At 41.4% G+C, this 13,852-nt stretch overlaps 1 annotated feature.

The window, feature by feature from the left end:
• Window positions 6,505-6,554: an enhancer, noted in NCBI's record as "active region_2141". NCBI's record gives its function as "activates an Ori minimal core promoter by ATAC-STARR-seq in GM12878 lymphoblastoid cells {active_cell/tissue: GM12878}" and the evidence as "EXISTENCE:reporter gene assay evidence [ECO:0000049][PMID:35858748]".

The raw sequence follows: 13,852 nt of genomic DNA, 5'->3' as shown, positions 1-13,852 counted from the left end.
GTGGAGGGGAGTACTCTTGATAGGGTAGTTTCATTTGTCCTTCTTGAGCTTTGCTTGATCTGCTGAGAACTAAAAAAAAAAAAGGAGGGGAAACCAGTTAAGATTGCATACGCATTCGTTGAATTGACTGAAAAAAGAAAAAGAGGCCATTGCAATAGTCGTGGAAAAAGATGATGGTGGCTTGGACTAGGGTTGTGGCATTTGAAGAGATATAGTCAAGATATATTTTGGAGGTAGACCCATAGTAATATTTGCTGGTGGATTATATATATGGGATGTGAAAAACAAAATCAGGGATAACTTCTATGTGTGTGGCTTGGGAGACTATATAGTTCATTTTCACACTAAGATGAAGAAGACTAGAAGAAGAACAGGTTTGAATCAGTGTTCCATTATGGAACTATAAGTTTGAAATATCTCTTGGACTTTCGAATAGAGATATTGGTTTTATGGTGAATGGTTAGGGCTGTGATATGGTTTGGTTCTGTGTCACCACCCAAATCTCATCTTGTAGCTCCCATAATTCTCACATGTTATGGGAGGGACCCTGTGGGAGATGATTGAATCATGGGGTTGGGTCTTTCCCATGCTGTTCTTGTGGTAGTGAATGGATCTCAGGAAATCTGATGGTTTTAAAAATGGGAGTTTCTCTTCACAAGCTCTCTCGCTTTGCTTGCTGCCATCCACGTAAGATGCAACTTGTTCCTCCTTGCGTTCTGCCATGATTGTGAGGCCTCCCCAGCTATGTGGAAATGTAAGTCCAATAAACCTCTTTCTTTTGTAAATTGCCCAGTCTCGGGTATGTCATTATCAGCAGTATGCAAATAGACTAATGCAGGCTGAAAAGACATATTTGGAGTAGTCAGCACACAGATGTTATTTAAAGTCTTAGAATTGAAGGTGCTCTCTTAAGGAGAGAGTTATACTTAGAGAAGAAGGCCCAAGACTGAGCACAGAGGCACTCCAGCATATAGAGGTCAGGTAGAAAAATAGGAGACAGAAAAAGACTGAGAAGGAGTAGACAGTGAGGCAGGATAAAGCCAAGAGAGTGTGGTGCCTTGAAAGTCAAGGAAGAGTTGGTCAGCAATTAAGTTAGGAACAGAGAGCAATTAAGTTAGAACACTATATATTGTATACCCAGAGCAAGAATCTCCCCAGTCTATAAGCTTTCTTAGCCTGAAAATACAGGTTAGAAAGGGTTTATCACATCAACATTTTCAGGAAAGATTTTGCATCCTAATTGGGTGCCTGAAGAGGCATCAGGTCAGGGCATGATCATGTGATATGGGTTTTTCCAGGCTTGTGATTGAACAGAATATGCAATGGTAGTCAGTGAACATGTGACTCTGAGCTGCCTCAATGCTGACATAAATGTGTTGGCTGATTGTTAGTAGATAATTCCAAAAGATCTCTGTGATGAGAACAAAGTGTAAAGACATGATTATAAAATTAGTATGGGAGTTTCACAATTTTCATGGTGAAAGCAGGATCATCTTTATTAAATTGTACCCAATTCTTTTTTGCAGAAGACATTGATCATTAGGAGTAAGGAGTGGGTACCTCTTTATCATCCTTGTGGGGTCCCTGTGCGTAATTCTAGCTCCCAATTGAAAGTAGAAGCATTGGTGGTGGAAAGAAACACAACTTTTCATTTTTACGTTACTATAAACAGTAATGACATTCTAGAAACCATTCTTGTCATGGCAAGTCCTGTGCCAATGTAGGATACAGCCATTTTGATAAAGGCTGTTTTGTCATAGTCAAGTTTGCTGACACACAGCTTTGGCTGTCATTTTGATGCCAAGAACATCTTGATGTGGCTGCCTTGATGTGGCTGTTTTGATATGGGAATATTTTGACTCTGCCTAAAAACAAACCAATAAACTTTTGCTTAAAAAAAGTATGTTTAAGTAATGCGCCTGAGAAATATCTTTATCCACTCCCTGAGCCCCTCTCATCTTTTAGCCCCCACCAGTAGAAGCCAGACTGCAGAAGTAAACAGTGGGACCCTTGAAAGGAAAAAAAAAATCACTGTAGGGGAGGGAAGAGACTGGAACAGGGGACCTGACCCAGCAACACAACCTGAAGGGAAAGAAAGATGGTTCTAGTAAAGCCTAACTGTTTTCAAACCCATCCTGACGCAGCTCCTTGAAGAAGTCATCCAACACATTCATATGACACCGAAAGGGGATTAAGGGGCTCTGCTGTAAGACAAACCCCACTGCCACTCAAGAGCTCACAGGAGCCGTGCATGACCAGGCATTTCTCTGACAAGACACGTACCATTGAATGAAGAACAGCACCACTGAGCAGAAAGATTTAAAAAGCCACAGCACTGCACACCCAAACAGTAGGCAGTAATCGCAGGCTGCCAAGTGACAGAGTTAGGGGGACGCATGGAGAAATTAGATGATTGAGTTTGGGGTTGATCTAGAGTTGACATTTTGTCATTCAGGTGTAACTAGGCACTAGGATGAGGAAAGTAAAATGCCTCAGGCCTGTTGTCCCACTCACACCATGAGGGATCGAAAGTGTCCTATCTTGTTGCCCCTAGTAGTTGAAAAGAGAATATAAATTGCCTTCCTCTAAATCCTTTTCCTCTCTAATAATTCTCTCTTTAAGCAACAATAGAACTGAAACATTTACTCTGGGAAGCCAATTAAATCATTAATATGATTAATGGTATAATTTCTCCAGTACCAGGTATTCATATCACTTAAGCTCATGAAATAAAATATTAAATATTTTCAAAAGATGAATCTGTCTATTTCTGTCATCATTATCTCTTTAAATATTTGAAATGTTATTTAATTGAATTTTAAAATGTTCGTAGAGAGTATTGAATGATACGTAATAGGAAAATCTATATGGTGCATGTGATTTGTTTCGTGGAAATATTAATTTCTCCTATCTCCAAAGCCATTTACTTCATCTTCCACTGCAAGGATTTTCTGTTTTCTTTTCATTTCAGTCTGTTCTAAATACTCATTTTAATTTAGGTCAGCAAATACATATTAAATACTACTATGTACCAGTCACTTTGCTAGGTACTATAGAGAAAAAATATATAAATATGAATCAGAAATATTCCCTGCCTTCAGGAAATATATTGAGGGAGACAGGGTTGACTTTTTGCAAAATACAAAATAAATAGAGATATCATCGGGCACTTTTCTTATGCATTTAAATATCATCTGATACATTTCAGGTGTGGTAAGCTAGCAGAATCAAAATTATTTGGGACCACAATGACTGGAGCAATTAAACCCTATTTGAAGGAGGAAAAGGAAAATGACATTTAACTCTAGGAGCCTATTCTGTGATAAGCACTGTGCTAAATACTTTATGTAAATTATCTCATTTAGTCCTCCCAACAGCCCAGTTTTACAAAGGATGAAAGAATAGCTCAGTAACATTAGGTCGCTTTCCCAAGTCACACAGCTTGTTTGGTATGAAGGCCAAATTCAAACCTAGCAGAAGCCATACTCTTTTCAGTCACCTCAAGGAAGGTAGTGGTATGGGTTACCTTCGAGTTAAGAGGACAATTGGCAGCTTCTGATTTAGACCGGACTGTAATGTCTGAAAGAAAGACTTTGGGTTATTAAAACTTTATGAAAAGGAGGAAAACAAATAGTAGTCATAATCAATCTAGATCCACCACTGAGCAATTGGTGGACACATGAGCACGGGGATCAAAATGGCAATTTGTACACATGAATAAAGTGTCCAAGTTGTTAATGAAAGTAACAAAAGAGAGTAATAAAAACATAATGTTTACCTTTCAAAATGACTGTACCCATCCTTTAGCTTCTTGAATCTATAATAGGTTATCTTTTGTTCCAATGAGAAAAATTAATAATAATAATAACATCTATTGAACACTTACTAATGCTGGGCTTCATGCTAAATACATGTGCCATACATACATGTAGAATAGAGGTTGAGATTTACAACAAGGTTCAGCAGGTTCAAATCTTGTTTTCACCACATGTTAGTTATTACCCCCCTCCCAAGTTACTCAACCTATCTGGACCTCAATTTCTTCACCTGAAAAGTGAGGATGTGATAAATAAACACCTGGTAAAAGTTAGCGATTACGCAGATGGAATATGTTTAACCACTGCCCCGGTTAGAAAGGGAGTTTTCTTAGTACACTGGCCCATCAATAAGTCCAGGCTTTCTTCTTTTGTGCTCTCTGCAAGTTAGGGGTCATGCACATAGGGTAAGCAGGCCCAAGCAAAGTCTCAGAGCATGGTGGCCATCACTCCTGCTGGAAGATCCTTGTGTGATGAGAGGATGTCTGTTGTAGAAGAGACACCCTCCACTAATGCCAAAGGCAAGTTGAGAGCCACAGGTGCCGAACAAAACTCAGGGAAGTCAGGCAGACTGCTCCCACTTGTGCCTGGCTGCTCCAACAATACCCATCATGGTATCTGTGACAGCCAGCCTCTGAAATAATTCCCAATGATCACCATCTCCCAGTATTCTCATTCTCATGCAAACCCCTTCCATATTGTACCGGAGATGGTTATATAATAAGACAGAAGAATGTAGCAGAAATGATGGTATGACATCTAAGATTAAGTAATAAAAGATACTGTTGCTTCCATCTGGGTCTCTTTCTCTTTTCTCTCCTTGTCTTTCCTCTCCTCTTCTCTCTCTTAGATCACTCACTATAAGGAAAGTCAGATACTATGTCTTGAACATCCCTATGGAGAGGCCCATGCGGTGAGAAATTGAAGCCTCCTGCTAATAGCCATGTAAGTGAGCTTGAAGCAGGTCCTACAGCTCCAATCAAGCCTGTAGATGACTGCAACCCAGCTAGTGGCTTGACTGCAATCTCATGAGAGGCTCAGAGCCACAAATACTCAGTTAAGCCCCTTTTTGACTCCTCACCCCTGAAACTGTGATATAGTAAATGTTTGTTTTCTTTGACTACTAAGGTTTGGGGTAAATTGTTACAGAGAAATAGATAACTAATAGAATGTCCCCTTTGCTGAGCTGTCCCTCATTCTTACAGGCTTGGTTCTGATTAAGTCTGGACTTCTCTCCAGTGACTCAGACACACACACACATACACACACACACACACACACACACACACACACACACACACAATTCTCTCAGCTTCTTTCTTTTCTCTCCAGAAAGGAGGGAGTCTTTTCTACTCTTCAGGGACCGTCGGTTGTCTCAGAGACAATTCCTCCCTTGCTAATGGCTTAAAGTATATCCCCTGATATCCTTTTCTTAATTGGTTTAGGGGTTCTCAAATTAGGAAGACTCCTTTTGCTTTTTTTTTTTCTCACCAGTTTCACAACCTGCTCTGCCCCATTTTACTTCAAAGAATATACCACAAAGAACAGTTCCAGAAAGAGAATTAGTTAATAACTTAAAAGTTAATATATCAAAAAATATTATTACACCAAATATGTCATCTCCTTTAACAACCCTATGAGGTAAGTGTTCTTATCATGCCCATTTTACAGGTAAACAGTTACCTTGCTTTTGATCACATGGATGGTAGGTGGCCCAACCAGGATGACCACCCTCAGGGTGACCACCTCCAGAGTCTGTGCTTTTAACTATCAAGTAATTCTACCTCCGTATACTAGTTATACCGATGTAGTGACTATAGAATCTAAAGAAAAAATGATAGGCCGGGCGCGGTGACTCACGCCTGTAATTCCAGCACTTTGGGAGGCCGAGGCGAGCAGATCATGAGGTCAGGAGATCGAGACCATCCTGGCTAACACGGTGAAACCCCGTCTCTCTAAAAATACAAAAAATTAGCCAGGCGTGGTGGCATGACCTGTAGTCCCAGTTACTCGGGAGACTGAGGCAGGAAAATCACTTGAACCTGGGAGGCGGAGAGTGCAGTGAGCTGAGATCGCGCCACTGCACTCCAGCCTGAGTGACAGAGCAAGACTCTGTCTCAAAAAAAAAAAAAAAAAGTAAAGAAAGAAAGAAACGATGATGTTTGTGGAGTCTGCATATTTACTGTAAATATATCACTTATAATGAATCATTAATTAATATTAATTTCAAGAAATGTTTTTTAGGCTATGTCCCAACAAACAGCTGACATGTCTTCATATGTTTCAAACTTAGTTGTGGAGTAGGATAAAGTGCTTTCCCAGGCAAGATTCTAGGTCTCATACAAAGCAGGGAATTTGTCTGAAAGTCTATGTCACAGTGAAGGCAGTCCTCCTACTTTACTCTAGACCCAGCTGGGCCCCTTGTAACATGTTCCCTTTCTTTCTCCAAAGCAGCATTTTCCCGTCTTCTCCATTCTCCAGAAATCTTCAACCATCCCTCCCACCCACGAACATCAACCATGTCCCCATCATTCTAATGACTCAACACCCACTGAGAGGGGAAATACAAGCCAACCGACGATAACCACTTCAACTTCCCACCACATGCTAAAGCCTGGCCTCCCACCAGACTATGGAAGCATTCCTCTTTTCTGCAGCTAAGGCCCCTGCCTGTTCTTTGGATCTCAAACTCTTTACTTTCTCAGGAATCTTGCCCTATTGATTTCTCCCTCTCTCTTCCTTCTCCACCTTTCCCTCTCCTATGATATTATTTCAATATTTAAAATGCTCAAATCTTTGCTTAGTAAATGCAAAACAAACAAAAACCCTCCCATGGCCTCTGCTCTTTCTCTCTTCCCCTTTTCAGCCAGTTTTCAGAAACTGTCTACACTTGGCGTCACTACTTTCCTACCTCCCACTCACTCCTCACCCCCACCACATTTCAGCTTATGCCATCAACACTTCTCTCAATCTGCTATCACCAAGGGCACCGATAAACTCCCTTTGCAAAATCCCAGGGACACTGTTTACTCCATTTATTTCTTCACCTCTCAATGTTTGACACTACTGTTTACCATCTCTTGAGCTGCTCTCTTTGCTTGGCTGGATTTTCTTTCTACCTCTCTGGCTATGCTTTTTTTGTGTGCTTCTCTTCCACTGGCCATCTTTTCCCCTTGGTGTTCTGTACTGGGGCATCTTCATTTCTCAATCTACACACTTTCCCTGAGTGGGATTATCTATTCCTTTGGCCTAAATTACCATCTATTTGCCTGTGACTCCCCTATTTATAATTCTGGCCTAGATCTCCCTTGTGAGCTTACATACCTCAGATATGTACATACCTAAAATATGTACATATCGACGTACCTCCTGGACATTTCCACTTAGATATGGGGCCCCCAACCCCTGGGCCTTGGACTGGTACTGGTTTGTGGCCTGTTAGGAACTGGGGCGCACAGCAGGAGGTGAGCAGCACCATGAGCCCCTGTTACTGCCTGAGCTCCACCTTCTGTCAGATTAGTGAGGAAATTAGATTCTCATAGGAGTATCCACCCTATTGTGAACTGCGCATGCGAAGGCTGCACACTCTTTATGAGAATCTAACTAATGTGTGATGATGTGAGGTGGAACAGTTTCATCCGGAAACCATCCCTCCACCCCACCAACGAAACTGGTCCCTGGTGCCAAAAAAGTTGGGGATGTCCTATAGGCGCTTCAAACTCACTTGCTCCAAATTCACCTGCTTTTGCCTCCTAACCTGCTCTTTCTCTTGGGTTTCCATACAACCAGTTGCCTACGTCTAAAATGTGGGTGTCCTTCCTAAATTATTCTCCCTCATATGTGCCCCATTCCTTTTGGGTTTTTTTTGAAATAGGGTCTCTCTGTCACTTAGGGTGGAGTGCAGTGGCATAATCATGGCTCACTGCAGTCTTGACCTCCTGGGCTCACATGATCCTCCCACCTCAGCCTCCAGAGTACCTGGGACTATGAGTGTATGCCACTACCCCCAACTAATTTTCAATTTTTTTTTTTTTTTAGGCGATGGGGTCTCTTGCTACGTTGCCCCAGCTGGTCTGAAACTCCTGGCCTCAGGTGATCCTTCCACCTCGGCCTCCCAAAGTGCTGGAATTACAGGTGTGAGCCACCACCCCATTTCTAATCAAGTTTGACAATAATATCTCTTAAATATACCTGGAATCCATCCACTATTTCCATGTTTACTACCACTGTCCAGACCAAGTCCCCATCTCCTCTAACCAGAATTACTACAGGCATCTCCCAACTGATCTTGCCTCCAGTCTTGTCCTTCCCGAATTCATTCTCCATCCTGCAGCCAGAGTGATCTTTTCTTGAGATAGGGTCTTGCTCTGTCATCCAGGCTGAATGCAGTGGTGTGATCATGGCTTACTGCATGCCATGATCCCAGAGTCAAACAATCCTCTCACCTCAGCTCCTGAGTAGCTGGAACTACAGGTGCACAACATCACACTTGGCTAATTTTTAACTTTTATTTTTTGCAGAGACAGGGTCTTGTTATGTTGCCCAGGCTGGTGTCGAACTCTTGGGCTCAAATGGTCCTCCTGCCTTGGCCTCCCGAAATGCTGGGATTACAAGCATGAGCCACTGCATCTGGCCCAGAATGATCTTTATAAAGTGTAAATCCTTCAGGATGGAGCTCTGATTTCCTGGTGCGGCATGTGTGGCCTCTCATGACCCAGCCAACTTTTAGCAGGCTCTCCTTTGTTCCCTTCCCACTCCAGCTTTCTATCCAGCCTTAATGAACTGATTCTGTATTTTCTGCTAGAAAGCTGTCCTTAGTCTCCATAAGATAAAGTCTTGCTAACTTTTCCTCTGGGGTACCTGCTCTTCTCTATCAATCTCTATATTGTCTATGTTTCTACCTACTGTGGATGAAGTTAAAGTACTTTCTCAGCCACGCTCTTGAGTCTCACACAAAACAGGCAATTTGTCTAAAAATGTACGTCTTGATGGTGGGTACCTTAGGTCAATATATCTCTTAAATGTTTCCTGCTTTTCTACCCCTCCTTCTATCATAGTTCATATTTTTCTTCTCTCTTTAAGCTACAAGGCATGTGAGGCCGTGGCAATCAAATATAGCAGGTCCTCAAATAACATTGTTTCATTCAACATCATTCATTATAATGTTGATGAGAAAAATAATTGATTCCCGGACAAGGTCACTGTCTGTGTGGAGTGTGCATGCTCTCCCATGTCTTCCTGAGTTTCTCCGGGTACTCCAGTTTCCTGCCACATCCCAAAAATGTGCATGCTAGGTGAACTGGCATGTCAAAATGGTCCTGGTGTGAGTGAGCACAGGTGTGGGTGTGAGAGCACCCTGACATGGAATGGAGTCCCGTCCAGGGTGGCTTTGACTTTGCCCCTGAGCTGCTGGAACAGGCCCTGACCATCCACCACCCTGAACTGGAATAAGCAGGTTGCAAAATGAATGAATACAAATTACTGCAAAAAAATAAATATTCAGTCAGGCGCAATCGCTCATGTCTGTAATCCCAGCACTTTGAGAAGCCAAGGCAGGAGGATTGCTTGAAGCCAGGAGTTAGAGACATGCCTGGCCAACAAAGCAAGACCCCGTCTCTGTAAAAAACAAACAAACAAACAAGAAAACCTAGCGAGGTGCCGTGGCATGCATCTGTAATCCCAGCTACCTGGGAGGGTGAAGCGGGAGGATCACTTGAGCTCAGGAGTTCAAGGTTGCAGTGAGCTATGATCACATCACTGCACTCTAGCCTGGGCAATAGAATGAGACCCAATAAATAAATAAATAATCTTAAGCTCAACAATAATCATACAAATGCATGATAATAAAGGAGGTGGTAGGAAAGTACTCAGTGAGCCCAACATATTCATTTTGGTTTGTGCTTGACCTTTGTGGTTGAGAGAGGTGCTCCTTCTAATTTTTGCTTTGAAAACATTTATTCCCTGATTTAACCCACCACCACAATGACTGCTGTCACTCACTGGCTCACCAAAAATTGAGTTAGTAAGTCACTTATTGTTTTTATTTCTCTTTCTTTAATGTACGTATAGTTCACATTTATTTCAATCTTTAATATTAGAAGTGTTTGGGGGTCCTTAGTTAGAAGTTTGGTGAGGTTTGTGACCAGAAATGTGCCTTAGGAGGTTAACTCTTGTTTGTATCAATTAGCCTACAGTAAAATTGATTTTGTTATATATCATTTTGCTTAAAGTTGCAGTTTCCAAGAACCTGCCAATGATGGTAAGTGAGGACTTACTGTACAATTGGTTAAGAATTCAGGCTCTAGAATAAGATTGCCTGGCTTCAAATCCAAGATCTGCAACATCCTGTTACTGTGATCTTAGACAACTTGCAAATTCGAGCCTCAGTTTTCTCATCTGCAAAATGGAGATTATATTGGTGCCTATCTCATAGGCTTGTTGTGAGGATTCAATGAGAAAAGGTAAGTAAAGCATTTAGAATGGTGCCTTGAATGTAGCAAATATTCAATAAGTCTTGGCTGTTATTAATTTTTTTGTTTGTTTGTTTGTTTTTTGAGGCGGGGTCTTGCTCTGTAGCCCAGGCTGGAATGCAGTGATGCCATCATGTCTCACTGCAGCCTTGACCTTCTGGGCTCAAATGATCCTCCTGCTTCAGTCTCCTGAGTAGCTGGGACTACAGGCATGCACCACCATGCCCTGCTAATTTTTTTTTAGTTTTTTGTAAAGACAGGGTCTCCCTATGTTGCCCAGGCTGGTCTCAAATTCCTGGGCTCAATCTGTCCTCCCACTCAGTCTCCCAAAGTGCTGAGATTACAGGCTTGAGCCACCATGCCCAGCATACTGTTATTACTTCTAAAGTCAGATACTGTAGCATTTATCCCCATATGGTTATTTACTCATTATTTATAAAATCAATGTGTCTTAAACCAAAATTCTTAACATTAACCCAAAGGTGAATATTAAATCTATTACACTAAGCACCTTGCATAAAAATTACACCACCTTGGTTGCTGGTCACTTGGAGCTTTTGGAAAATGAGGTCATTCTATTTCTACCCAAGCACTCAGGGAATTATATTCCCTTGAGGAAGGAGGTCTGAATCAAACAGGACACCTCAAGGTTCCTGAAGCCGTCATGACTGAGGTAACGTCTTCTTTATATAAACTGGCAGGTTTATATATTTCTTTATATAAACATGACTGTTAAAAGCAAGTAAACATCAAGATAACTGTTTTAACTTGTTTTCCAGTAATTTAAGAGGACTGGGCCCTCGGTTCTTCCAGTGTCGCAGACACCTGCAATCTCACGCATCCTGCCCCAGGACAGGGATAAGTTCTGCAGGTGCTTTCCTTTTCCAGAGTTACAGAAGCCAGGCCTTAGTTCAAGTTTCACAAGCTTGGGATTTAAAAGTCAAGTTTTGATAATAGAAGTAGTGCCTCTAGATGCTTAGTTTGTTTGGTCTGGGGAGAGAAAGAAACAGAATAGAATTGTATAACAGCGTTGGATTTGTTTCCAAGGACACAATGTAAGAGGGAACTGAGGTGACTTAAGAGAAGTTTCAGAGTAGGAGGAAAAGCTGGAACAGGCATATTTATAGCACCAACCTGCCATATATATATATATATATATATATATATATATATATATATATATATATATATGTAAATAAATAAATGTGCATCCTACTCTTATTACTGCTTGTCTTCCTTATTGGCCTCCTTCCTCTTGTAGGTTTAGACAGACACCGACACAGTATTTCCGTCTTCACAAAGAAAGGCTGGCATCTAGGGAAATGACCTTGATAGACAACTATAAACACAATATTAATCAGAGCAATTTGCTCTTCATTGTGCCCCCTTCCCAATATCCCAAAGCAACCCCAGAAGAGAGGCCAAAAAAAAAAAAAAAAGAAAGAAAAAGCACAATCGCTGGCCATCTAATGAGTGTGCAAATAAAGGTAAAATATTCCAACATGGTCCGAAAATGACCCAAGTCCTGCCTCCAAAGAAAGAGATTTTTAAAGATCAGCTAAATCCTAACAGATTTTATGGCAGCACCTCTGTGCCAAATGGTTTCTGTCTTGGTATCATAGAACAAGGTGTTAAGGAAGATAAAGTCGGGGATTTAATCCACATATAACTAGACACCTTTACTCTTTGTAAATAGTGACACAACCTTTACTCCTAGGACAGCTGTCTTGCAAAGAGCTGTGCTCCAGAGAGTCTGGGGCAGAAAGGGAAAATGAAAAATGAGTACCAGCCTATTGTCAGTAATGGGAAAAGAAAGTACCAACTCACAATCACAGCCTACTGGCAATAAGAGTGGCACATTACATTACTTTGTCCTATACTCTCATTGGACCTGAGCATTATTTTTCAGGTCAACTGAATACTTGATTTCAAAAAGACCAGTATTCTAAATGTTGCCCAAATAAATGTCCTCAAATAGATGTTCCTGCCAGTGTAAAAAATATTTTCTGCTTGAAGGTTGAACACGGAAATGGGAGCCCCTTGTTGCTGCTTGCATAAGAGCCTCTGTGGACAATTTAGCTGCTGTTTTACAAGTCAAAGCTGGCCTTTCACAGGCAGCATTGGTGCCTCCATGTGAGACTGGAAAATTGAGCTGCTCTTTCTCTGCCTCTAGTGACCTGCTGAGTAATAAAGGTTTGTGGAGTTGCTTTGTTTCTTTCTCTTTTTTGTTGTTTTAAAATCAGAGCTAAGCTGACAGTCTTCATGAGGATGGTGGGGAGGGCAAGGGCAAGTTAAAATCCACCTCCAGCTCCCCGGGGAAGGAAGAAGCGGAGAGGCTCATTCCTGTCAGCAGGTGTGAGTCAGACACACAGGGAGCAGCAAAATTGAGTAAGAAGGTGCCATTTTGTCGTCAATGTTCCCACCACCACCGCACAGAAATAAATAGTTTGAGAAAATGATCCCGCATGAAAGAAAGATCTGGTTAGGAGTCAGACAGAATAGAAAGTCCCCATGGAATGCTGCTTCATTACGCAATCCTTCCTTTCACCGAGGGATTCCAACTTTTGGTGGAACCAATTTGACAAGCAAGGGCTGACAGCCTGGGAACCAGAAAAGCTGGCCTCCAAAGTGATTAGTCACTTTGAAGCTCAGTCCTACCATTGTATTGTTAGTTGGTATAAGAAGAACTCGGTTAGCCTCAAGTCTCAGTTTTTAAATCTGGAAACTGGGATCAGTAATCTTTACCAACAGATGAATGTTTCTAAGTAATGCTTGGGTTGGAGACACCATCATTCCCCTTTTTAACTATTCCCCCAAATCTTCCTGGAGACACTGTTTTTCTCTTCCTGTGTATTTTACACTGAAGGTTTGCCTCTCCCACTCTGCTCACTGCTGGAGGGATGGTGAATGGCTTGATGTTTAGATAGCCCACACTAGGTTAGCTTCAAAGGAACCTAAATACACTCAGGACAGAATTGTCCCATAAATGGCTATGAATATTACCAATGTCATAATGGAAGAGACTGGAAATTAATCTGGCAGCTTTCTTCTATTATTCATCATTTTTGTATGCTTCAGCTTTAACTGTTTAGTAAGTTATGCATAGTTCATTTGGAAGATATTTTGAAAGGAGGACCTAAAGTATAGTTAATCCCAGAGAGTGGGAGGTTTATCTATAATTCCTTTCACTTGTTTCATTACAAAGTCCAGAATTTTAAACACAGAACTCCACCAACTATTATTTTACAATTTAGCAGCTCTCCATTGAATATATATTTTTGGACCCCTACTCCAGACTTACTAAAGAAGAATCTTTTGGGATCTTGGGCAAGTATAATTGTGAAAGCGTCCCACATGATTCTGATCAACACACTTGGATAAGAACCATAGATAAGTTACTTGGATCAAATGCACCCCAAGTGACCCTGGTGCACCCTTCCCTTTCTCCACTGATGCTTTTTCCTTCCTCTCGGTTGCTCAGGCCAAAAGCTTTGCAGTTGTCCTTGATTTAACTCTTATTCTCGCATTCCACATCTAATCTATCAGCAAATCTTGCTGGCTCTACTT

The sequence above is a fragment of the Homo sapiens genome, chromosome 1, assembly GCF_000001405.40.
Source record: "Homo sapiens chromosome 1, GRCh38.p14 Primary Assembly".
NCBI lineage: Eukaryota > Metazoa > Chordata > Mammalia > Primates > Hominidae > Homo > Homo sapiens.
The sequence above is the reverse complement of the archived record's forward strand: the minus strand, read 5'-3'. Positions and strand labels throughout refer to the sequence as shown.